We start from the raw sequence: 27,916 nt of genomic DNA, 5'->3' as shown, positions 1-27,916 counted from the left end.
CCTAGTGGGCCTATGGATTTTGGAGGCAACACATTTCTCACTGGGTTTGTTACTCACACCTATTTACTGAGTGACCCAAAAGGCTGCCAGTTTGAGTGTGGTCTAGAACAGGAGAAGGCTCTGCAACAGGTCCAGGCTACTGTGCAAGCTTCTCTGCCACTTGGGGTATATGACCCAGCAGATCCAATGGTGATTGAGATGTCAGTGGCAGATAAGGATGCTGTTTGAAGCTTGTGGCAGGCCCCCATAGGTGTATCACAGTGGTGGCCTCTAGGGTTTTGGAACAAGGCCCTGCCATCTTTGTCAGATAAGTGCTCTCCCTTGAAAAGACAGCTCTTTGCCTGTTACTGGGCTTTGGTGTAAACTGAACACTTGACTATGGGTCCTCAAGTCACCATATGACCTGAACTGCCTATCATGAACTAGGTGCTTTCTGACCCATCTAGCCATAAAGTGGGTTGTGCGCAGCAGCATTCCATCATCAAATGGAAAAGGTATGTATGTGATCAGGCTTGAGCAAGTCCTGAAGGCACAAGTAAGTTACATGAGGAAGTGGCTAAAATGTCCATGGTCTCCAGTCCGGCCACCCTGCCTCCTCTTCCCAGCCTGCACCAATGGCCTCATGAGGAGTTCCCTATGGTCAGTTAACAAAGAAAGAGAAGACTAGGGCCTGGTTCACAGATGGTTCTGCACAATATGCAGGCACCACCCAAAAGTGGACAGCTGCAGCACTAAAGCCCCTTTCCAGGACATCCCTGAAGGATAGCAGTGAATGAAAATCTTCCCAGTGGGCAGAACTTCAAGCAGTGCACCTGGTTGTGCACTTTGCGTGGAAGGAGAAATGGCCAGATGTGCGTATATATACTAATTCATGGGCTGAAGCCAGTGGTTTGGCTGGGTTGTCAGGGACTTGGAAGGAGCCTGACTGGAAAATTGGTGACAAAGAAATCTGGGGAAGAAGTGTGTGGATAGACCTCTCTGAGTGGTCAAAAACTGTGAAGATATTTGTATCCCATGTGAGTCCTCACCAAAGGGTGACCTCAGCAGAGGAGGATTTTAATAATCAAATGGACAGTGTGACCCATTCTGTGGATACCACTCACTGTCTTTCCCCAGCCACCCCTGTCATTGCCCAGTGGGGCAATAAGCAAAGGGGCCATGGTGGCCGGGATGGAGATTACACATGGGCTCAGCAACATAGACATCCACTCACTAAGGCTGACCTGGCTACAGCCACTGCTGAGTGCATAATTTGCCAGCAGTAGAGACCAACAGTGAACCCTCTATATGGCACCATTCCTTGGTGAGATCCGCCAGCTACCTGGTGGCAGGTTGATTATACTGTACCTCATTCATCATGGAAAAGGAAGAAGTTTGTCCTCACTGGAACAGACACTTACTCTGGATATGGGTTTGCCTATCCTGCATGCAATGCTTCTGTGGATTCATCTGTGGATTCATGGACTGCCTTATCCATCGTCATGGTATTCCACACAGCAATGCCTCTGACCAAGGCCCTCACTTTATGGCTAAAGAAGTGTGGCAGTAGGCTCATGCTTATAGAATTCACTGATCTTACCATGTTCTCCATCATCCTGAAGCAGCTGGAATGATAGAATTGTGGAATGGCCTTTTGAAATCACAATTCCAATGCCAACTAGGTGAGAGTACTTTGCACGGCTGAGGAAAAATTTTCCAGAAGGCCATGTAGGCTCTGAATCAGCTCCCTGTATATAGTACTGTTTAGCCAGGATTCATGGGTCCAGGAATCAAGAGGTGAAAGTGGAAGTGGCACCATTCACCATCACCCATAGTGATCCACTAGCAAAATTTTTGCTTCCTATTCCTGTGGCATTACATTCTGCTGGCCCAGAGGTCTTAGTTCCAGAGGGAGGAACACTCCAGTGGGAGGAATGGAGACACAACAACAATTCCACTAAACTGGAAATTAAGATTGCCACCTGGACTCCTTGGGCTTCTCCTACCTTTAAATCAACAGGCTAAGAAGTGAGTTACAGTGTTGGCTGGGGTGATTGACCAGGAATATCAAGATGAAATCAGTCTACTACTCCACAATGGAGGTAAGGAAGAGTATGCATGGAATACACGAGATCCATTAGGGCGTCTCTTGGTATTACCGTGCCCTGTGATTAAGGTCAATGGGAAACTACAACAGCTCAATCCAGGCAGGACTACAAATGGCCAAGACCCTTCAGGAATGAAGGTTTAGTTCACTCTACCAGGAAAAAAAAAAAAAGGAAAAAAAAAGGAAAAAAATAAACTTGCTGAGATGCCTGCTGAAGGCAAAGGAAATATAGAATGGGTAGTAGAAGAAGGTAGTCATCAATACCAGCGATGACCACATAACTAGCTACAGAAATGAGGACTGTAATTGTCATGAGTATTTCCTCTTTATTTTGCTAAAAACATGTTTGTGAATGTATACACTTGTTCTAAGAAAATATCTTCATTTTATTTCCTTTTTCCTTTATCATGTGACATAAGATATATTGACTTCATTTAAGTATTGTTAACCTTATGTAATAGCATGTGGGTTGGGGATTGATGCATTTCTGGTTGTATAAAGGATAGTTGTATTCTGTTAGGCGTAATCATGACTTTATTATAGTCTTTATTTGAAGATGATGTATTTTCTCAGGAGATGTGTATGGGTTTAAGTTGACAAAGGGTAGACTTGTAATGGTTAATACAGAGTGTCAACTTGATTGGATTGAAGGATGCAAAGTATTGATCCTGGGTGTGTCTGTGAGGGTGTTGCCAAAGGAGATTAACATTTGAGTCAGTGGGCTGGGAAAGACAGACCTATGCTTAATCTCTGTGCAACATTTAATCAGCTGCCAGAGAATATTAAACAGGCAGAAAAATGTGAAAAGGCTAGACTGGCCTAGCCTCCCAGCCTTCATCTTTCTCCCATGCCAGATGCTTCCTGCCCTCAAACATGGGACTCCGAGTTCTTCAGTTTTGGGACTCGGACTGGTTTTCCTTGCTCCTCAGCTTACAGGCTGCCTATTGTGGGATGCTGTGATTATGTGAGTTAATACTTAATAAACTTAGTCTGTCCCACTAGAGAACCGTGAGTAATAGAAAATGTTAGGAGATTAAAAAGAAATAGATGTATAGCTAGAATGGGCCTTGAAAATACAATACATACTAAGGATTGTAATTTAATATGTGCTGCCTCTGTACACAGTGTTGAGCTACAAGAGTGTAGGGGATCATGTCAGGTTGTTATCACCTACGCTAACTGAATAGATTACAGACAGAAGTTGTGATGGAAGATGTGCACTTCAAAGTACTGACTACATCTCGATCTGAGTTTGGGAGAACATTTGAATTTGTCAGACTTGGGGGAAAATGTTATGTAGATAACACAATGTTTCATAATAAACACTGAATTTGGATAGACCTCTGCAAATTTGAGTTTGAATAAACCAAAAACAATAGGCAGCTTATGGGGGAAAAGGAGGAGAGGAGTCAGACAGCACAGTGCTATGTAGATCGGGAGCAAATCCTAAACAAATTTAACCAGGTCTAGAAGAAAATTTTATAAACTGTTTGATGTCTTCAATTAAGGTCACGTATAGCATCTGTTGCCCTCAGCATCGCAAACACTATACCAATATTATTAACGTTCTCCATTAGCAGGACTCACTAACAACACAACAATCATAAAACCCCTTATGAAACACGAGCCAAAATCCACAAGAAGAGGAGATGATGAGATGAAAACAGTGAAATATAACAAAGATTTGGATATCATAGTAAAGGATAGTAACTCTGGACAACACCTTTACAGAGCTAGTGGGAGCTATAGCAGCTGATTTTGAATTCTACACAGATGATGAAGTTTCAGATGGTTATTTCATTCACTCATTGACCAAATGTTTATTGAGGTTTCCTCTGTGCCATATAATGTGTAAGCTGTGAATAAGTTACAACAATTAACAGCAGAATGTAGGTCTCTAATCTTAAGGAGCTTACATAACAGTGAGGAATTCAGATAAAATAAAATGGCTGATAATGGTAAGTGCTAGAAGTGGAGTAAATTATAATAATAATTATTATTTGAAATGGTGTCTTGCTCTGTTGCCCAAGCTGGAGTGCAGTGGCACGATCTCAGCTCACTGCAACCTTGACCTCCTGAGCTTAGGCAATCCTCCCACCTCGCCTCACAAGTAGCTGGCACCACAGGGGCATACCACCACACCCCACTATATTTTTTTGTATGTTTTGTAGACATGAGCTTTCATCATGTTGCCCAAGCTAGTCTCAAACTCCTGGGCTCAAGTAACCCTTCCACCTCGGCCTCCCAAATGCTGGGGCTAGAAGCATGAGCCACTGCACCCAGCCAAAGTGGAATAAATTAGATAATAGAAAGTAAAAGAATGAATACTTTAGAAGCAGGTAGTGACGGGAGTTCTCTCTGAAAGAATTACGTAAACCTGAGAGACAAACAGCAGGGAGTCCGTCTTTCTGAGAGAAGGGGGAGCATTATAAGGGAATATTTTAGCGCCAATATCTCAGTGGCAGAAACTTAGTAATTTCAAGGAATGGAAAGAACTTTAATATGGCTGAATCCTAGTGGACAAAGGCATTGTGTTAAGATAACTGGAAATAGGCCGGGCGCGGTGGCTCACGCCTGTAATCCCAGCACTTTGGGAGGCCGAGGCGGGCGGATCAAGAGGTCAGGAGATCGAGACCATCCCGGCTAAAACGGTGAAACCCCGTCTCTACTAAAAATACAAAAAAATTAGCCGGGCGTAGTGGCGGGCGCCTGTAGTCCCAGCTACTTGGGAGGCTGAGGCAGGAGAATGGCGTGAACCCGGGAGGCGGAGCTTGCAGTGAGCCGAGATCCCGCCACTGCACTCCAGCCTGGGTGACAGAGCGAGACTCCGTCTCAAAAAAAAAAAAAAAAAGATAACTGGAAATTAAGCCAGAACATGTGGAGTTTTATAAGTCAGGGAAAGTAGCTTGGATAGTATTTCTCATGTGCTGGAAGACATTAGAGGTTTCCACAGAAAGCAGAATCTGAGACAAAACTTAAATGTGGGTGATTCAGGGGAGAATTTGATTCAGGAAGCAGCTAGGAGAAACATGGGAGCAATTCAAAGAATAAGGAAGAACTAATACAAGAATATAATGCATTATTAATTTGGCCAACACTAGGGGTGACTGCTTGCTAGATACCAGGAGACTATCTGAGAACTATATGGAATGTGTCTTTGAGCAGTCTGTCTGGGAAATGCTAAGGGAAACATTTTATCACCATTTCTCCATCATTTCCCAGTTCCCACTTACCAAGTATCTTCCCTGCAGGATAGTGATATCCTTACACTTCCGAGTTGTGCATATGTGAACAGTGAGTGGATTCCAGAGGCATCTCACATCACAGAATCAGCAGCAGGAGGTGAAAGGCTGATGGTGTAAGCCTTAGCTTAGGCATTGGAAGATTGTACATGCATATGGCTGATTAGAGCTGTCATAGCAGCACTGGCACAAGAAATGAATGAATGAAGAATATCTCAAGAAGTAAATAATAGGATTTGCCTTTACTTTATAAAGATTATTTTGGGTTATATATGGAAAATAGTTTGTTGGGGAAAAAATAAAATGAAGGTAGAGAAGAGCATGTGGAAAGCCTTTGCAGCCACTTATGCAAGATTTGATGGTGCCTTGGCTTGGGGTTCAAGTGGAAAAGTTGTAGTACAGGTGGAGAGAAGATATATCTCAGAGGTAGACTTTCCATGAAACATTAAATAAGATGTGAAGAGTGAGGAGAATTTGAATAATCTAAATTGGAGATGTGTACACACCTATACACAAACACACACGAATGCACAAACAGAACTTATGTATTTAATTTAATCTTTTAGATGAGAGTATGTCACAAAATATACTTTAATAAATTCTTAAATTTAGAAAGTGGAAATGAACAATTATAAATTAGCCCAGTTCAACCTCTTGGATATTTTAAAACATTATTAGTACCAAGTAAGTCGGTCAAATAAGGAATTACTATCAGGCGGAGCTTGCAGTGAGCCGAGATTGCACCACTGCCCTCCAGCCTGGATGACAGAGCGAGACTGTGCATGTGGGGCTCCAGGGAAGTCCCCAGCCCACTGAAACAGAAGCTTCTTGGGTATTATGTTATTGATTGGCTCAGAACTAGATAAGCTAGAGCTTGAGTGAGGGGCTTTTATCCTTTTCTTACAGTCCATTTTAAAAGAGGAAACCAATCAGCCTTCCTGTTTCAGTAGGGCTGAAGGTTTAGTGGCTCACCAATGGCCAATGATTTAATCAATTATGCCTAGGTAATGAAGCCTCCATAACAAATCTAAAAGACATGATTCAGGGAACTTTTAGTGATGAAAAAAACAAAACAAAACAAAAAAGCCACATCCATGTGCCAGGAGTGTAGCATGTCATAACTCCATTTGGGTAGAAGCTCTTGAGTTTGGGACACTTCGAAATCTCACCCTGGAGCACTCTAAATCTTGCTCTGTGTTTCTCTTCATCTAGCTGGTCATTTGTATTTTTGAAAATATCCTTTGTAATAAGTAAGTAAAGCATGTAAAGTGTTTTCCTATGTTCCATGAGCCAATCTAGCAAACGGATTAAACACAACGAAGGTATCATGGGAATCCTTAATTTATAATCAGTTGGTCAGAAGTACAGGTGATTGGCATTTGAAGTTGGGGGTGTTTTGTGGGACTGAACCCTTAACCTATAGGATCTGACACTATCTCCCTAGACATAGTGTCAGAATTAAATTGAATTGTAGGCCAACAGATGGTGTCTGCTGGAGAATTGCTCAGTGTGTGGGAAAACCTCCTGTTCCATGACCGGTATCAGAAGTGTTGTGTTGAGTGACTATGTGAGAGAGCAGGAAAAAAGTTTGTTTGTTTTTCTCAGACTGTCTCATCTTTACCAAATATAAAACTAGACAAAATCCATAAAACAACAATTTTTAGACACTGGACAACCAGCAGAACAAGACAGTCATCCCTGAAAAGTAAAAGGAAACAAATCTGGTGAGGCCCAATTCACTGTGTAGAATATGCAGTTTTCCGTACTGCAGCACAGAATGGGGAAACTGAACAGATCTTGCAGTTTTGCTTAGTTTAAGGGACATAGTTCAAAATGCTGGGAGGCAGGGAGGAAAAGTTGGCTGAAATATGCAGCAAAATATCATATGGTGAGAGACTTGAAAGAATGAGACTGAGAGAGACAGAAAGAAAGGGGGTAGGGCTGGGGAGCTGTGAAGAACTGCTGAGGAAAATAGAACTTGTAACAAGACAAAAAAGAATCAATAGAGACAGACCCAGAAATGGTGAAGATGATAGAAGTAATAGACAATAATATTAAACCAAGAAGGTTTAGCAAAATGTATGCATGATAAGGAGACAAGTAGAAGATACACCAAAGACCCAACTTTAACTTCTAGAGATGAAAAATACATTACTAGAAATATATATAATAGATGAGATTAGTGGCAGATTGGATATGATAGAAGGAAAATTTAACAAAAATATGGCATTAGAAACCATTCAAAATAAAACATAAAAAGAATAAAGACTGAAAATCAACAGAGCATTAGTGAGCTGCTGGGTAATATCGAGACATTGAGCATATATATAATTGAGCCCCAGATGAAGATAAGGAAAGCAGGGGGAAATAGTTAAAGAAATGGTGACCGAAAGTCTTCCAAATTTGTGGAAAGCTACAAACCCACAAATTCAATGAGTGCAATCAATCCTAAGCAAAAGAAACGTAAATAAAACTATACTAAATCACACCATAAACAAATTGCTGAAAACCCTTAAAAGCATCCAGACAAAAGGATGCTATCTATAGAAGAATAGATATAAAAATGGTAGAAGTTTTTATGAGAAAGAAGATAAGTCATAAGACAATAAAGGAATATCCTTAAATTGCAGAAATAATAACGGGTAGTGGAGGAATAAATAGAAGAAGAACAAGAGGAGGACGAGGAAGGGGAGGAGAAGCAGCAGGAGGAGCAGAAAATTGTGGCAGTAGAGAAGAAAGAGAAAGAGCAGGAGGTAAAAAAGGAAGACTGAAAGGGGAAGAGGAGAAAAAAAGGAAGAAGAAGAAGAGGGGATAGAGGAGAAGAAAAACTAGCATACTACATTCACAAAAATTAATTTTATAAAATCAATGCAAAATTTCAGGCACGCAGGAGCTGAGAAAATTCACCACCAGCAGCTTCCAAGCTTCTAGTTTCTTGATGACTATGCGGATAAAAAAAAGTGGACTCCCTAAACAATAATAGCAACTTTCAAGCCACACTTCCAATGGTAAAAGGTAAAAATGACAAACAGGCCAGCACTATAAGAAACTTTAAAGGAAGTCATTAAGGAAAATTATGGCAGATATCTACACAAATGTAGAAAGCAAGCCAGCAGTGACAAATGTGTGAGACAAATATTAAGTGGTAGAAAAATATAAAACTAAAACATTTTTTCAAAAAACATTTTAGAGAAAACTCACTGTTCAAAGCAAAGGCTGGGAGTAAAGAAATGAAAGTGTTGATCTCTAAGGTTTTTGAGCCATACTGAAAGCATTTTTTTTAAAGACACATAGCTAATAAGCCAATAAAGAAGATGAAATGAAATCATAAAACTAATTCACACAAATCAAGACAAGAAAAGAGGTAAGAGAAAACAGTTATTGAAAAAATTTAAATAGCAAGATTTAAATTGAACCCTATTGGTAATCTCATTAAAGAAAATGGTTCAAACAACTACAAGAGCAACCATTACCATGTTGGATTAAAAAAAAAAGCCCAAACTACTTACTGGCTACAAAAACCCCAAAAACTTTAAATACAAGATCACAGAAAAGTTGAAAGTAAAACAACGAGAAAAGGTACAACATGCTAACGTTAATTTTTAATGCTATATTACTATTAAACATCGCATCTATGAAAGCACTATCCTTATAAAAGAAATTGAATTTTGTTTACAAATCTTCCCATAAGAGTTTTCCGTGTCTGTCTATGACATAATAGGACTCTACTAGAGAATACTGCCTGCAGAAAATGACAATAAAATCAAGACACGCTACAAAAGCTGGCTACCTGAACATATTTGAAAGGCAACAGAAGCAGGCTGTTTTAGGGAGGGAGTTCATACTTGCTTGGAGGAGGAGAACAGGCAGCTATATAAGTTCCCACCCCTGTGACCTTGAGTCGGTGGCTAGGTACCAGGCAAGATGTACAGGCAGAAAAGACAAGGTCACACATGGAAAAGCTTTCAATCTTCCCGGCCTGGGGAAGGAGAAAGAAGAAACTAAGACATTTTGAATGCTGAAGAGAGTTGAATAATCCCATAAGGGAAAGAGCCAGAGAGAAGAAACCCAAACTCTGTCTACCCACGTCTTCTTCTGAGACTTGAGCTATGCATGTGAGAAACAGCATCTGGGCTGCCCACCTAAACCCAGATCAGAACAGAGGCTGCATCTGCTGCACAGGAAAAAGAGTTTGCAGTTTGAGCTCAGCCCAGAAAGTTATCTGATAAGGTTTTTTCATGAGCCAGCATAAGCCACTTGTTGGTCAAAGGAGAGGTTTATGTACATTTGGGCAATTAGATTTTTATCTTTTATCATTGGATGTGTGGCTTAAAAGTTGCTATAATTGGCCGGGCGCCGTGGCTCACGCCTGTAATCCCAGCACTTCGGGAGGCCGAGGCAAGCGGATCACGAGGTCAGCAGATCGAGACCATTCTGGATAACAGAGTGAAACCCTGTCTCTACTAAAAATACAAAAAAAAAAAAAAAAAAAAAAAAATTAGCCAGGCTTGGTGGTGGGTGCCTGTGGTCCCAGCTACTCAGGAGGCTGAGGCAGGAGAATGGCGTGAACCCGGGAGGCGGAGCTTGCAGTGAGCCGAGATCGTGCTCCAGCCTGGGCGACAGAGGGAGACTCCGTCTCAAAAAAAAAAAAAAAAAAAAAGTTGCTATAATTGTTCAGAGAGTCTATTTTCCTCTTCATGTTAAACCAGAAACTAGAAGCTTAGAGCCTACCCCTCTGATTTCTACGGCAAGGGTGTATATAGTTTTGCATATGCACCTGCTAGGGATGAGTGTAGTTTTATTTCTAAATCTAGCTTTCTGTGAGTTACCGCTGGGTCATGGTAGCTTATTGCTCAGTGTTCGGTAAGAGGCTGTATTAAAGCCTCTTAAGCTGTGTGGCTTCAGCCTTATGTTGATGATTCTGTGTATGGCTTGAGGAACTTTATCTCATCTGCCCAATGTCCTGCTTTGATTGCTTCTGAATGGGTGCAGTCTAGCATACGCACAGAGGCCTTCTAACCCTCCACAGTTGTCTATGATCACAGGAGGTTTCTTCTTGCTGGCATCTATTACACTTCTCGCTGCTCTGCTGCTTTGCTTGTATCATAGCTACCAGGCTCCTCTTAATTCTTCACCAAGATGACCTTTTTTATTTTTTTTACAACATTCTTATACATGGAGTTCTGTACTCTTTTGTAAATAAAATTAGTTCCCTCAGACAGAGCTGTGGAGATTTTTGTCCTTAGAGGCTCCTGTCTCTCTCCTCCCCTGCAGAACAACACCAGAGCCAGGGCCTGTTACCTGTTTTCCTTGAGGTAACATGAGCGGCACTGAGGGGTGGGTGGGCTTCTCTAATCTTCTCTGCCTGCTTCTGCTGACGTGAAACTTCTACCCTTTGAGTGAGCTTTGCGGAGGTGACCAGGGCCCCAGTGTTTTCAGCCTGATGTACTTCAGGCAGAACTTCTGTTATTCAAGTAGAAGCTGAATGGTGGAGAAGAGGCCTGTTCCTCTCACCTACGCCTGCCTGGAGTGAAGCTCCTGCAGCACAGGGCTTAGTAGGAGGAGTGGGGTGAATCATCACCTTAGCCTGGGAGTTGGTGGGGAAGGAAGAACCATCTTCTTGGCTTCATGTTCCTGGGGTAGAACTTCTGTAACACAGGGCTAGGAATAGATAATGAGAAAACCATGCTTTACATGCCACAGCCTCTTGATGTTCCCATTGAGGTTTAGTAGATTTTCTTGGATGTATATTTCTCTATTTGCTGTGTGCCTTTAGGGCAATTTCCAGAAGATTTTAATAATTGCTTTTTGTAATTTCATGAGTTAAATTATTGCAATACTTCACAAACCTTTTAAAAAAACAGAAGAGGAGGGAATACTTCTCATTTTATGAGTCAATATCACTCAAACTACACAAAACATCCCAGGATATCTGCAGGTCAATATTCCTTATAAATATACATACAGAATTCAATAAAATATATAAATTCAATAAAATATAAGTAGGGTAGTATACTATGACCAAATGGGCTTTATCCCAGGAATGTAGGCTGATTTAACACCTGAAAATCAACTAATATAATGCACCGTATTAATAGAAAAAAAGAACAAAAATTATATAATTATCATAATCAAATGCAGAGAAAGCATTCAACAACATGTAACAACCTTTCACGATCAAAACTGTCAAAAACTAGAATAGAGGGGAACCTCCTTCATCTGATAAAGGGCATCTGTAAAAAACCCCACAAGTCTCATCATACTTGCTGGTGAAAGATTTCTTCCAAAGACAATGAAAAAGATAAAAATATATGCCCTTTCCACTTTTATATAATATGACACTGGAGATTCTAGCCAAAGCATTTAGGTAAACAGAGTGAAAAAATATTAAAAATTTTAAAAATTAAAAACAAAATGCATTCAGAATAGAAAGGAAGAAATAAAACAATTTCTATTTGCATTTAAATGTACTAGTATATACAAAAATCTAATAAATCTATTAAAACACTGTTAGAACTATCAAATGAGTTCAGCAAGAGTAGGACAGAAGAAAGTACAAAAGATTATATGTCTATACAAAAGGAGTTAACATTTTGATAATTAAAGTTAATACTACTAAAACTACAAAAATTAGCTGGGTGTGGTGGGATGTGCCTGTAATCCCAGCTACTCGGGAGGCTGAGGCAGAAGAATCACTTGAACCAGGGAGTCGGAGGTTGCAGTGAGCCGGGATTGCCTCACTGCACTGCAGCCTGGCGACAGAGTGAGACTTCGTCTCAATAAATAAATAAATAAAATAAAAATTTAACGAAACAAGAACACAAATTATATTCAGGAAACCAGAAGGCATTTCTGAAAACACTAAAGAACACCTAAATGAAGGGAAAGAGCCAGTGTTTATATGTTGGAGGAATTAAAGTTGTTAAGATGGCAATATTCCCCAAATTGATTCATGAATTCAGTGCAATCCCCATCAAATCTCAGCCGTCTTCTTTACAGAAACTGACAAGTTTATCTTAAAATTTATATAAAGATAAGAGACCCAGAATTCAAAACAATCTAAAAAGGATCATGTTTGGTATATTCACACTTCCTACTTCAAAATTTAGTGCAAAGCTATAGTAATCAAGAGAGTCAGCTGTGGTGCTGGCGTAAGGATGGACATACAGATTAATAGAACAGAAGTGAAATCATAGTGATAAACCCTTATATTTATTTAATTGTTTTTTGACAAGAGTGTCAAACAATTTAGTGTCTTGAATTGTCTTTTCAGCAAATGGTGCCAATGCAATTAGATGTCTCTATGCACAAGATCAAAGTTGGGCATCTATTTTTACACTATACAAAAAAATTAACTCAAAATGGATCCTGGACCTAAATGTAAAGGTTACAACTATAAAACTGTAGAAGAAAACAGAGGAATAAATGTTTGTGGCCTTTGATTGGGCAATGATTTCTCTATCATAACAACAAAAGCACAAATGACAAAAGAAACATAAATAAATCAACTGCACAAAAAGTAAAACTTTTGCTGTAAATAATACCACTAAGAAAACGAAAAAACAGCCTACAGTATGGGTGCAAATATTTCAAAGCTTTCCTCTAATAACAGTCTTGTATTCGCATTATATAAAAAAACTGTTACTACTCAGTAATAAAAGACAACTTCATTAAATTATGGGCAAAGGATTTGAATAAACATTTTGCTCCAAAGAAGCTATATGAATCGTCAATAAGCACATGAAAAGATTTCTCAAAATTATTAGTCATTATGAAAATGTAAATCAAAATCACAATAAAATATCACTTCATACTCGCCAGGGTGGAGTTAATAAAAACAATAAAGACAATAAAAAGTGTTGGCATGAATGTAGAGAAATTGGAACCACAACACGTTATTGGTGAGAATATAAAATGGTATAGTAACTTTGAAAAACAATTTGTCATTTCTCAAGTTCCACCCCTAGGTATTTACCCAAGAAAAGTAAATACATATGTCCACACAAAACCTTTTACATGAATATTCATAACAGCATAACTCAAAATAGCAAAAATGAGGAAACTGCCAAAATGTCCATCAACTGATGAATGGATAAATCAAATGTAGTATACCCATGCAATGGAATATAATTTGGCAATAGAAAGAAATGAAGTAATGGTACATGCTACAACATGGATTAGCACTGAAAACATTGAGTTAAATGATAAAAGACAGTTATTAAAGACCATACACTGTATGATTCTATTTATATAAAATGACCAGAATAGGCAAATTTGTTAAACAAAGAAAAGAAAATAGATTAGTAGTTGTTTAGGGCTGGGGAAGTTAGTGGGAAAATGAATGGACTGATAATGTATACAATATTTACTATATGGGAAATAAAAATGTTGTATAGACTGTGTTGACTTTTCCACAACTCTACTAATATGCTAAAAAATTAAATTGTACACCTTACGCTGGAACATCTTCTGGCATATGCATTATATTTCAATAATGTTGTTTTCAAAAGCACGAATGGAAAAATCTAAGATAGTTTTTCCTATTTACCCCAGTAAGTACAATTAAAATCCCTAATAAAAGAAACATAAGACTTTGAAATCTGAAGAGATGAAATCAGACCACCTATGATGGAAAAAATATATCATGTAAATAGTAACTAAAGGAAAGCTGGAGTGGTAATATCATTTATCAGATAAAGTAGTCTTCTGAACAAAGAATATTACTAGAGACAAAGAATAATATGTATTTATGATTGCTATATATATAGTATATATATAGCATATATATAGTATATATACAGCATATATATACTATATATACAGCATATATATATGCTATATATATAGCATATATATACTATATATATAGCATATATATACTATATATATAGCATATATATACTATATATATATAGCATATATGTATATGCACACAATCATAAATGTGTATGCACCAAACAACAGAGTGACAATATTATGTAAGTATGTAAAGGAAAAACAGATCAAACCAAAGAAGAAATAGATGAATATGCAATTTTATTCAGAAAGTTTAACACCTCTTAACAATATAGAACAATTAAATCTGAAACATTAAGAACACAGAACATAACAGCGAAGGAAAAAGAAAGAAAACCACAGATCAATATTCTGTATAAATATAGATGTGAAAATTCTTAACAAAATATTAGCAAATAGAATTGAGCAATACATTTAAAAGATTACATACCATTACCAATTGAAGTTTATTCTAGAGATGCAAGGCTGGTTATATATTCAAAAATTAATCAATGTATTCCACCATTTAACAGGTTGAAAAAGCAAAATTATGTAATCATTTAACCAATGCAAAAATATTTGACAAAATTCAACAGCCATTAATAAAATTATCAGAAAAATAGGAGAAAAGGGGAACTTCCTCAAGTTGATAAACAACATCTACCAAAATCTATAGCTAACATTGTACTTAATGGCAAAAGACTAAATGCTTTCGGATGCTTTATTTCAATCTGTGTCTATTATAATTGTATCAGTTATCTCCTTATTTTCAGTTGGTATTTTAAAAGGTACTGAAAACCTCAGTAGGCCATTTTTTTAACCAAGCAAGAATGTCTGCTCTCAGAATTCTAATTCAGTAGAATGCTGGACTCTCTAGCCAGTGTAATAAAGCAAGAAAAAGAAATGAGAAGTATGTAGATAGGAACGGAAGAAATGAAATTATCCTTTTTGCAGATGACATGATTGTCTACATAGGAAATTCCAAGGAATCTAAGATATAAACAATATAAACAAAACAAAGAAGTTTCAGAACTAATAAATGAGTTCATCAAGGTCACAAGACACAAGTTAAAGATGTAGTAATAAAACAATAGCAATAAACACATGAACACTGAAATTAAAAATATAATACCAGTTAGAAAAAAAAACAGAATCAAGTTTTTGGGCTCTGGGTTACATTCGAGATGCCTTAAACATGATACTAAAGCACAATCCGTAAAAAGAAAAATCAATAAATTAGACTTCATTGATAATTTTTTTTAGATGGAGTCTTTTTCTGTCGCCCAGGCTGGAGTGCAATGGAGCGATCTTGGCTCACTGCACGCTCCGCCTCCTGGGTTCACGCCTTTCTCCTGCCTCAGCCTGCCGAGTAGCTGGGACTACAGGCGCCCGTCACTACGCCCGGCTAACTTTTTGTATTTTTAGTAGAGACGGAGTTTCACCGTGTTAGCCAGAATGGTCTCGATCTCCTGACCGCGTGATCTGCCCGTCTTGGCCTTCCAAAGTGCTGGGATTACAGGCGTGAGCCACCGCACCCGGCCCTGATAATTTTTAAAATTTGGCCCAGTAACAGCGTTTCAGTGCCTTTTAAAATACCACTGGAAAGTGAGGAGATAACTGATACAATAATAATAGAAGCAGGTTAAAACATAGCATTAGGAACATGACATAGTACAATAATTTCTGGGGTTAAAATTATATGATGTCTTCTTGGAGGAATCATGTTATGTCCCCACCTTACTCCTAGGTCGTTATTCCACATCCCCACCTTACTCCTAGGAGCCTAGTAGAATGTTAGAGGCCTAAATTTTGTTAGACAAAGAAGTAGATCCTGCAACTATTAAAAAAAGTCCTAATATTTATGTGGAAGCTATATTTATTATTCAGCATCAGGTGGCAGGCAGAGAAGCTGGATCATTCATACACTGTTGATGGGAATATAAAATGGTATAGCCTCTTTAGAAAATGGATTTGCAATTTCTTATAAAATCAGACATACAGCTACTACATGACACAGCAATTGTAATTTTGGCATTTATTTCCAAAAAGTAAAAAAACTTGATCACACAAAAATTTCTACACATATGTTCATCATGTAATAACCATAACGCATATTGTTTCCAGTTTTCCAGTTGAAAATACATAGAAAAACACATCATGAATTTAATAAACAAAAGATCATTATAGTGCTGTATTAATATCAGATAAAACAAATTATAAAACAATATATAACCAGAGATAAAGAAGTATACATCTTAGTGAAAAGTGTCAATTTATAAATGTGTGGGCACCCAATAATAGTCTCAAGATGCATGAAAAACACTAATAAATTAAAGGAATAAATAGACAATTCCTTAATTATAGTTAGAGATTTTTCTCATAAATCTCTCAGCAGTTGAGGTTAACAGAATAAAATCTGTAAAGACATAAAATAGTTGAATAACAACCACAACCAACTAGACTATTGATATTTTTTAGAACATTAAATTTAACAAGAAAAAACACATTTAAGTGCACATAGTAAGTTTATCAAGATATACCATTTTCTGGGACATGAAACAAGTTTCTATTCAGAAAGATTGAAATGATGCAGATTTCTCTCTCTGAACAAGTGGGTATTAAATTGAAAAATAAGATAGCCTAGAGCCACAAATATTTTAAAATTAAGCAATTTACGATATACTTTCAACTAATTTTTGTATACAATAAGAAATCCTAAGTAAGATTAGAAAATTTTGAACTGAGCAATAATGAAAATACCACATATCAAGATGTGTGAGATGTACAAAACAGCACATAAAGAAAAATGTATAGAGGTAAGTGCCTATGTTGGAAAAAAGGAAAGTCCTCAAATCAATGATCTAAGCTTCCATCTGAATAAACTAGACAAAGATGGAGCAAATGAAAATAAAAACAAGGAAAAGAAAGAATAGTAATCGGTATAAGAGAAGTTATGAAAGAAAAACAAGACAATGAAAGCCAAGCTGATCATTTAGGAAAACAATCAATAAAATTCATAAGCAGTAGCCAGCATGACAATAAAAGAAAGAAAAGATACATAAAATAGCACTATCAAAAATGGAGAAAAGGGAAAATATCTACATTCATTTCAGACACGAAGTGGATAGTAAAGGATTATTATTTTAAAACTATGCCAATAAATTTTACCACCTAGAAAAAATGAGCAATTTTTTTAAAAAGACACAAAGGGGCCTGAGGGAACTTTTTAGGGGAGTGATGGAAGTGTTTTATTGGATAAGGAATCCATCTTGAATGTTGTAGTGGTCATACCATGGTATGCATTTGTCAAACTTTATAGACTTTTTCACACACGCACACAAATAGTGAATTTAACTGCATGTAAAATGTCTTTCAATGAAGTTAACATAATTCTGGAAAATCCAAAAAAATTTAAAAAATCAGCAAAAGTAAAAATAAGAACTTATGACTCATTGAGTGAATTTTTAAAAAATAAGAACTGCTTAGTTGTATTCAATTTAGATATTTTCATTTTGTTTTGCTGTTTTTAAAATTTTTATTGTGACTATATGCATAGCAGAGACTTTTTCATTTTAACTATTTTAAGTGTACAATACAGTGGCATTAGTTACATCCACAACGTTGTGCAACCATCACCACTATCATAGTTAATCATGAAATCACAATTCATTGGTTCAAAAACAATTATGCTTACAAGTAGCTAAGTGACACTGAATTAAAATAAAGCAAAATAAAATTCAAGTGAATTAAATAACTAAAATGAAATAACATTTAATATACTTAATTTACTATTTTAATAAGTAATGTAACACTATAACCATTTAATAATTAGAGTAGAATATATGGATGTCTATTTGATAAAAATTCTGGAATCTGTAAGTTGAAAAAACATCAAGGAGAAAGTTGACAAATTTAACCATATGAAATATTTCTGAACATTAAAAACAGCATTAGATAAAAATAAAAATAAAAATTTCTGAAAAAAATGTTCCTTGCAAAATAGCAGACAAAGATTTTAACCTTCCATACATAAACAAAGCATATAGAGATCCATAAGAAAATTAATAAAAACTCCAGCAGAAAAATGTACAAGTTGTCGAATAGACACTATTCAATACAGTTTTCAATGTTACTTCACAAATAATAAAAAATGAGAATTAGGAGATAAAGAGAAGGGTTTTTCTTATAAATTATAAAAGGTATACGAAATAATAATGCCTGGCCAGGGGTTCCATGAATGTACTCTACCCCTAAAAATGGGTGTTTAAATAGTTTTTGCTCAAGAGTAATATGGAAATATGTACTAAGAATACTTAAAAATATGTATTCTATTTGTTTCAGCAATTACACTTCTAAAAATTATCTTAACAACAATATGAAACGTGTTATTCCTGAAATTTTGAAATTTTCATCAGTAGTAAAATGATTAAATTGTGTTTGAGGTAACTGTTTAAAGAAATCCCATAAATGTATTAGAAATCAGGGTTGTAAGGCTATTTCAACCTATGAGATGGATAATATAATATTAGGTGAAGAAGACAGAATTCTGTAAAAACAATAACTCAATTAAGGAGGAGTATACAATAGAATTTTGTTAGCTGATCTTTATTTAACTGACTAGCCAGGTTAACCCAATATTACTATTTTCTTCATAATATTAGTCACCAAATTCCATCAGGCAAAGACTGCTTTACTCTCACCAGGTAAACTGTTTGCTTAGCAAGAGTGAGTTACATTAAATGTGCAAAAATCCCTTTATGCCACTTGAATATATTGTCATAATTAAATAACTTAATTAAATTTTACATACACTGATAGAATTAGAGTGTGAAAAGAAAGTGTTATTCTGCAAAAACAAAGCTGTGGCTTGGAAAGATTAAACAAAGGTGAGTCTAAAAACAAATTGCTATAGAATTATGCACAGGAGATGCAATACTAAAATATGTAGGGTAATGTGAAAATTAAAAATTCTTATTCAGATTACTCACATTTTTACACATCACTTTTAAGAAAGCAATGCTGGAGGTGTAGGCTACACAGGAAAGGTAATATGAAACTTCCTACAAGGATGAGCATAGTCATAGGTAAAGCCTTGGCCTCATGACAAAATGTTGTCAAATGTTTGGGCAGTTTTCTTTTCTTTCCAGTTAAAGTAAATGGTTTTAGGTATATATGTGTCATTGCATATGACTTTTATTATTGGTGACTTTTTCAATGATCAGAGAAATAATCAGTCCTGATCAATTTTTAGCAGTCTTTTGTGTAAATCAATTACCAATGACCAGTGGGACACTTGATGTCTTATTGCTGTGTATGATCTAGGAACCACGACAGAACCCTAGGGTAGATAGATAGGGGATTTGAGGAAGAACCAAGGTCAAGTCTATCAGTCTGGTGGAATAGGGACTCTGAGTCATGAGTGAAGTAGTTACTAAAGAAAAACAAAGCAGTATTTTTTTGCACATCTGAATGTGTAGCATGAAAGAGTGTAAATATGCCAAATATTAAAAGTAGTTTTTTCAAAGTAGTGGAATTTTGAGTGATATTTATTTTCTTCTTACACAAGTAACATGCCTTATTTTTATAATAAGAAAAAAGATCAGTCTTTTATAAAGGAAGGCAATAGTTGGATTAGAAACATCATACTGAATGAAATTCAAGTAATTAAAGTAAAAGCCATATTAAAACATACATTTCAACTAGCTTCTTCATTTTTGGTATGAAAAGGAGCAGTGTCTGTGTTCCTGCTGCTACTGTTTGTGAGTGCATGTGCAAAAGGGGAGGAGAGAGGTTAAGGAAGAGAGAAGCTGAAAGAGAGGGAGAAAGCAAGTTTGGAAATGAGCCACCAGTAAGAGAAAGTTGGAGTGGTCCTCCCAGAGTACACCACAAATGGAGGGGTGGGGTAGTTCTTTTTCTGAATAACTCTTGGCTCATTAAGAAGAAATAGTTCTTGGCACATAGGCCTTCCCAGAAAATGGAATGTGCCTTTCTCCTTAAATTCATACAGGCTACCCAGAAACTCAGGAGTTCCTGGAAATTTTATTAAAATTTTCATATAAACAAGCAATCATTTTGAGACCATAGTTCCTGGTAATAATGCCTATGGATGCAATCAAAACATGCATTTGGACTAGAAGAAAGAAGATGAAAAAAATGAGGAAGACATTTTCTTAAAGATAGATTTTTATTAAAATGGCTATTTTTTTCTTCATTCATTCACATGGGATGTTACAGCACCATTAGTAAATTGTTATTTTTATGAGACTGTTTCACTCAGGAAATTTCTTAATTCATTACATTTTATTAGATCAGCAGTAATGAACCAAAAACAATATCATTTATTTTTATTACTACTGTAGGTTAAATCACAATGATTTATACAGCCAGATTGAAACAATGACTGTGTAATTACTGTTATTGTCAACAATATATTTTTCTTAAATAAGACAATTTAACCACATGTAAAGTCAATAAATATAGAAACTTGTAACTGAAAAGAGTAGACAAGCTGCCACTTTATACCTAAGGCATCGTGTGAATACATTCTGGATGGTGGATATGGATGAAATGAGGAAAAAGCAAATCATTGGTATTAATGAAATGGCAGTGATGGGTCTGTCACAGTCAGGATATATAGTTTGAGAATGTTATTCACAGTATTATAAATATACGGGCGCTCATGCCCTTGAGTAGAAACCAAATATAATTATTCCATTTACACAATTGTCTGTATGTGTTTTCTCTTTCTATTGAGAGGACTATTTTCTCATCTTCTAGGATCATTTTCCTTTAATGTCTAACAATTCCAAAAGGTACAGTGTGGTTAGTAAATGTTCTCCTAATCTTATCTCCTGAAGTGTCATATCACTTCAATCAGTCCTATCTTTTAGAAGTGCAGAATAGCTGCTCCAGTCCCTGTATCATAATTTTCAAACCACTTGAAGAGTTATTTTTTAAAAATCAAATAACTATAAAAGAATCAAGCCAACAAGTTTTTTGTTTATTTGTTTGTTTTGTTTCAGTAATGGTATATCAATATTTGCAGCTACTATGAAAGCACTGCCTTTAAAATATCAAGAGGAAAAATAATTATAAGTCTATCCACTATCCAAAATTTGGTATTCAAATAGCTTTGAAAGCCAAAAAAATTTCATAATTTATTTGGCAGTAAAACTGGACCAGAGCAGTTGTGTGGCCATTGATAGTCTTTATTCTACTTTATGTGATTATTAAACTACTTTGTTGCAGTTATGTTAATGTGCTTGATGACAGAGTGTCCTCCTAGAACCCACTGTGAGTGTTCCCTGACATGTAGTGAATGCACCATATTGCTTTTTCTGAAGTTGAAAAAGAAAATCTTTATTCTGAAACACATCTGGCCAAAGGGTGTTGAATAAAGGATTGCTAATTTGGTTTGAAAAGGGGAAATGAGGTGTACTAAGGAATTTTATTCTAAGCTCTTCTTCTGGTTTCTCTAATTTTTAAATACTTCATTGTGCATATCCTAACCTTTTCCACTACTCCACCTGGTTAATCCAAAATCATAATGGGCAATACAAAGTCAAGTGGTTAGGTACTTTGTCACAGGTACTGAGATAATATAAGGATGGCTTGGTAACTCCAGACACAGGGAATGCAGCAGATGGCTATATCATAAATGACCTGAAGGAGAAAAGAAGGTTAGAAATATTTTTTCCGAGTAACTTTGGAAGAAACACTGGGGTCAGTTTAGAGAATCAAAAGGTGAATGAATGCTTTCAGTTTGGAAATTCATCTGACAACATAGCTTCTTTAGCTTCTTGAAGTGTGAAGAAAGCATGTAATCAGGCTTTCAGTTGATTATAAACAATCATCAAGCACCTAGAACACCCTGACTCACTATAGTTTCTAGTCTGCTTTTGACATTGGGCAATTTTTTGTTGTGGAGCTACTTTATGTTCCAGACTATGAAGAGTTAAGTAATTCACAAAGATCGATAAGTCACAGCAATTTCTCTTTGTATATAGAAGCTATGAAGCATTAGAAATTCTTAGCTATAAACTAAGGCTAATACAGCATATTTCATTTGTACTAATCAGGGCACTTTGAGCAAAAACAATTACAAAAAAGTTCTAGCTTTCTCTTCCTTTCCCCTTCTTCAATCTCCACCTCTGTTTTTCTGGAGCTTCTTTAGGTGCAAACAATTTCAATTTATCTCTGACACTGTGACTATGACAGTAAAAACTAAGAAATATAAGCATAGTCGCACCAAATGAACAAAAGAACCTAAACACAAGTATGCTCGTACAGCTAGGAAGCAATTCACTTTTCTGTAACAGCATAGTTCTACTTCTTTTAAAAGTAAGAAAATAAAATGCAATTTTTTTTTCATTTCTTGTCATAGATGCTATGTCAAAATACAACTTTGAAAGGTAATATATTAAAAACTTTGTCTTCATGGACACTATTGAATGGTGGTTGCTGATAGTACTATCTGCTTCCCATTCTTCTCTTTTTCTCTTTTCTTCTGCCATAAATGTGAGAGAGAGAACACCAGGTCTTTTAATTTTTTCCTTTCCTTATTTTGTGTAAATTTAAGTCAGTTCATTTCTTGAGAATTTAAAATCATAAATTCTAGTTCACTTCAGTGAAATATTGCCTATATTTGGTAAATTCAAAGAGAGAAAACTACTCCATGTTTTCAGTATTTCATAAGAAACGAAAGGAAAAATAAAGCAGAGCTGTTCTTAAAGAAGAGTTTAAGTAAACTTTTAAAGGTTATCTTGTTTTTGTAACATTATTGGAAAATACTAAATTTATGGGCAATTCTTAATCCAATCAACCACTACAAGTTAATGATACAAGTATTATGGTTTTATCAGGATAGTTTTAATTTGTTAATATAATCTGTCTGAATTATGATTGTTTCTGTCTATTCTTTTTTTTTTCTTAGTTGGAGCCATGAATTTTTGACCAATGATGCAGCCATTATTTGTTGTATTTATTAAGGTGAATAAAAACTATTTAGGCTGGGTGCAGTAGCTCGTACCTTTAATCCCAGCATTTAGGAAGGCCAAGGAATGGAGGATGGCTTGAGTCCAGGGCTTTGACGCTGCAGTGAGCTATGATTGCGTCACTGCACTCTAGCCTGGATGACAGAGCAAGACCGCGTCTCTAAAAAAGATAAATAAAAATCTAATTTAAGGATAAATAAATAAATAAAATAAGTAAAATTTAAAATAAGTTTTTAAAGTGAGTAAACCTAAAGAGAAAAAGTCACAAGAGAAGTGAAAGCATATGCTTTAAAACTAGACAAAGAAGAAAATCTACTAAAGATCCTGATGTTTGGAGAAAGTTGAGGACCACTGGTAAAAATTTAATGTTAATTCTACTACAAAGCTGAAGTTTCTAAGAGAAAAATTATGTTCCTTGCTTTTCCAACTGTATATTGTTCTCTAGCATATGCCCCTCTTTCTCTAGGCATCACAGAAACAACTGAGTTATCCTTAATACACAGGGAACAAATTTGTGGTTAAGGGGTGCCATCAGCAAAAGGGAGGTTAGCCAGTATAGGTATTGATATTAAATCTAAGCATACCATCATATGGTACGTTAGGAATCTCCCATTATTTTCTGTTGAAAATAACCCTTATTGAATTAACAAAGTCTTTCACAACTCAATTCAAATCTGTTTATTGGAACAGAATCTAAAGCTTAATTGGAAATATTAACAATTTATGAAAAGGCTTTAAGAGATTGAAAGAAAGAATAGGTATAAAAGCAAATTTAAGATGATTCAGAAAACAAAAAAACAAGTGGCATGTAAAGATAAAATAATCTGATTACTGTGAACACTAGAAAAGGGAATTTTGTAAGATTTGAATCATATTCTTCAGAAAATTATATGTTTACATGTGTTCTAAAGTGAGTTAACACATAAGATCTCAGAAAGCAAAATTCCAAGTCCCACACTTTTATCAATTGCTCAACATGTTGATGATGTGTCAGATAGTTGCTTTTTTTCCCCCTGTAAAAATCAGTGACTATTTCACAACAAATGTGGTTCATGTGTGTAGAACAGAGTGACAACAAAAAAATTAAGAAACAAAAAAAGTGCAAGGCAGAGGGCAAAAGGCTTTATTCAACCAGATCAGCAGAAAGTGGGACTTTTTAAAAGTTAAACTCCAGAAAGAGTTTGGTCCAATGTCTCTATTTCTTCTTAAAGCCACACTTTTCTTTTATCCTTGGCTTAAAATGAGCTAATAGACAGGACCTCCCATTTTCTTCAATTCCTTGCTTGTGGAATTTGTTGCAGAAGTACTTTCACTCACTGAAACCTATCATGGGTTACTGAAGGAAATAAAAATATTGCTTTATTGGCTGTGGAGAGAGGAAACAGCATTTTAGAACCAAGGCAGAGGTCAGCATTTGTTTGTGCTCAAACTCGATGTCACCATTTTGAGTGGCTCCCAATTGAACAGTCTATCCCTGTTCTGTTGATAGCCCAACTCACAAAAGAAACCATATTATTTTTGATACATTCCATCTGAGGAGAAAGAAGGTACCATTAACCTATTAGAGGAGATGGGGTGTGTTCAGGGTGGTATGGCTGTAGACACCATTAACCTATTAGAGGAGATGGGGTGTGTTCAGGGTGGTATGGCTGTAGACACCATTAACCTATTAGAAAAGCCATTGGCACACCTGGATATTAAGAGAAAAAATTTAAAGTAAATATTGAATTGTGTAGATCTGAAAGGTTTTAAAGCGTCAAGTTCTGGTGACCTGTGTTACTGCCTCATTACATGGCAAGACCTACCAAACTTTGGGTTTCATGTAAGCATGCTGAATTTATGAAATGTGCCTCTGAACAAGTTTTGTCAAAAAAAGAGCATTAAACTCTGTTTGTTCTTTGTGCGTTACTTTCAAGATAGAGTCCCTTTTTTTCTTTCTTTTCCTTTTTTTTTTTTTTTTTTTTTTTTTTTGAGATGGAGTTTTGCTCTAGTTGCCCAGGCTGGAGTGCAGTGGCACGACCTCGGCTCACTGCAACCTCTGCCTCCCAGGTTCAAGCAATTCTCCTGCCTCAACCCCCCGAGTAGCTGGGATTACAGGCACACGCCACCACGCTGACTAATTTTGTATTTTTCATAGAGATGGGGTTTCTCCATGTTGGTCAGGCTGGTCTCGAACTCCTGACCTCAGGTGATCTGCCCGCCTCAGCCTCCCAAAGTGCTGGGATTACAGGTGTGAGCTACCGCACCCTGCCCCTTTTTCTTAATATTCACAAAACCTAGCATGATAAGGCTTAAAATCATCTCTCTAACCCCATTTATTACCACTATTTTTTTTTCACTCTACAAATCTCAACATACTTTTCTTTTTTCTGTTACTGGAATGTATCACTATCTATGTGGCTTCTGAGGCTTTTCAGTGTTGTTTCTAGAAAAGCCTTATCCTTCCTTTTCCTTGGGTGCCTCTCAGTGCCATACCCAAACTCAGCTTTTCCTCACAAGTCTAGGTTAAGTGTTTTGTCTCACCCCTACTTTTTCAAGAGAAGCACTAATTACCATTTATTTTTGTTGCCTTTTTGCAGGTATTTAATCTCCTCACCATATTTAAAACAACATTAGAGCTGGGACCAAGTTCATTTTGCTTACCATCATGTGCTTGACACACAGGATATGTTCAATAAAATTCATTTAAAGGATACACTAATGTTTACTGCCACTAAAATAAGCTGAGTTTATAAACACAGTTTTAATTCTTAGGCTTTTATCCCTGATAATGATAGAATTAATTTTTCTGTAATATATTTATTGATTATAATAATGATAACAATATCAATCGCAGGGATAATAATAACTACTACTACCATTTATTGAATTTCTACCATGAGTGGATACAATATTGAGAGTGTTCCTACATTATTTCATCCAATCTTCATAGTAGCTCAACAAAGCGGGTATTAGATTGCCCTTTTTATAAATGAGAATAGTGAGACTCAGAAGTAACTTATGCAAAGTAATAACAGGAAAAATAGAAATTTGAATTCAAATCTATTTTCAAAGATTGTCCTAATGTCACTGTACTACACGGCTTATTCAAAGAGATTTAGGGATTAACTTATACTTTGGTATTTGATTAGTTTCTATTATTATAACTTCATTCTTAAATTATTAGTTAGATAATTATGTGAGAGAAAATTAAGGAAATGAATGAATAGCTTTTAAAAAAATACTTTCTGTCTGGCACTATGTGCTTAGTATTTTACCCGACAGACAGTATTAGATGTAGATACACATATTTAACTGTTAGGGATCCTCATTAATAGTTTACCTTCTTTGTTTGCTCACATATTACAATATTCAATTTCCCGCATCTCATAATTTATTTTTATTTCTGCTTGATGAGTACAACACCTTGCTTTAGGGGTTTGTATCATCACCATCTTTACTATAAATATCATTGTTTGTCTTAATAATAAAAATAACCACCAATAGGATGGTAATCAATCAATCCCCACATTTATGGGGCAGTTACAATTATTATTACTGTATTATAATTTCCTAATTTTATTGATGAGGAAGCTGAGGCTTATCAAAACTAAGTAATTAACAAGTGGCAGAGCAGGGATATGAACCCACACTGTCTGATTCCAAGGTGGTGATCTATAAGTTCCAGTGGTTCTTGCTGAGCAAACAGTTGGGATATAATGTGCTCTCTGTCTGCCTTTGTCCTCTTATGTAGCTAAGATAAAGAGGAAATCTCCTGTATTTCTTAAATATAGACATGGTGTCTATTATTTCAGAACATCTTCCTATCTGGAAAGATTTGTGCAAAATTCCCAAGAGCTCCCAACTACCTCTATGTATAACCCACGAGATGTCTTAATTGAATCTAAATTCTAAGTAGCATTTAATTTAATTTCAATTTTTTTTAGGAAAGACATGTTAGGCTTTGCCCTGTTTCTGTTTACATAATTTTTAAACCAATATTATGTAAATGATTATATAATTGAGTATATACCTAATGTTTCCAATTAAAGATACATTTCCAATATTTAGCAACACATCCTCCCACTGAATTAATCACAAAGTTTCCCACGTCTAAATTCATTGTCATGATTTGGTGTAGCACTTGATCTGACTTGCGAGGGTGTAGGTAATATGTGATAAATTACTTAGCAAATTAGAAATTAGGACCTTAGACCTGCTGAATTAGGCTAGGGCACCTTTAAATTGAAGAGAGGTAGTTTTTGACATGCAATGCAAGAAAGTGAGTACTTGGCCACAGGTATAACTTCTTCCTTACTATGATGTCTGAAAATGCAGGCTGTTTCCTTGATGGCCTATGTTGCTTGGGGATTAGATACCCAAGCCAAAATACTGAACCTACAGTTGTTTGAGAGACTTTCTGATATTTACAAAAATATTTCTGGAAGTTGCCTTCTAGCTAGAGTAGTCACTATTTTAACAATTTGCCAACCTCTTGAATCCTTTAAGATTTGGAACTTAATGTCATGGACAGAATGTAAAACTATGTTTGTTCATGAATATCATTTTGGTCTGATCAATTATAGAAAAATCATTAAAAATGTTGCCATCGTGTGACTACCTGGACATAGTCATAAATTCTGAGGCATTGAAATGTGTCAAATACTTCTATTTTGAAATTACTTTTATTATTAAAAATGGAAGACAGTACCATATGAGAACCTGAGTGGAGAAGTTATGGTTTAAAAAATATATTAACAAACATCATCATCAATAACGTAGTGGCCAAGGTCAGCTCACAATGTAGAGTTTCATAAAATCCTCAAAAAGAAATTAAGCTT

The 27,916-nt window shown here is 36.0% G+C and overlaps 1 annotated feature.

The window, feature by feature from the left end:
* Window positions 4,051–4,270: a silencer, noted in NCBI's record as "fragment chr2:165027147-165027366 (GRCh37/hg19 assembly coordinates)". NCBI's record gives its function as "represses an EF-1alpha promoter that drives an FKBP-Casp9 reporter gene in an ReSE screen in K562 erythroleukemia cells {active_cell/tissue: K562}" and the evidence as "EXISTENCE:reporter gene assay evidence [ECO:0000049][PMID:32094911]".

Source organism: Homo sapiens, chromosome 2 (assembly GCF_000001405.40).
Source record: "Homo sapiens chromosome 2, GRCh38.p14 Primary Assembly".
NCBI lineage: Eukaryota > Metazoa > Chordata > Mammalia > Primates > Hominidae > Homo > Homo sapiens.
Note: the sequence above shows the minus strand (reverse complement) of the source record. Positions and strands in the feature narration are given on the sequence as shown.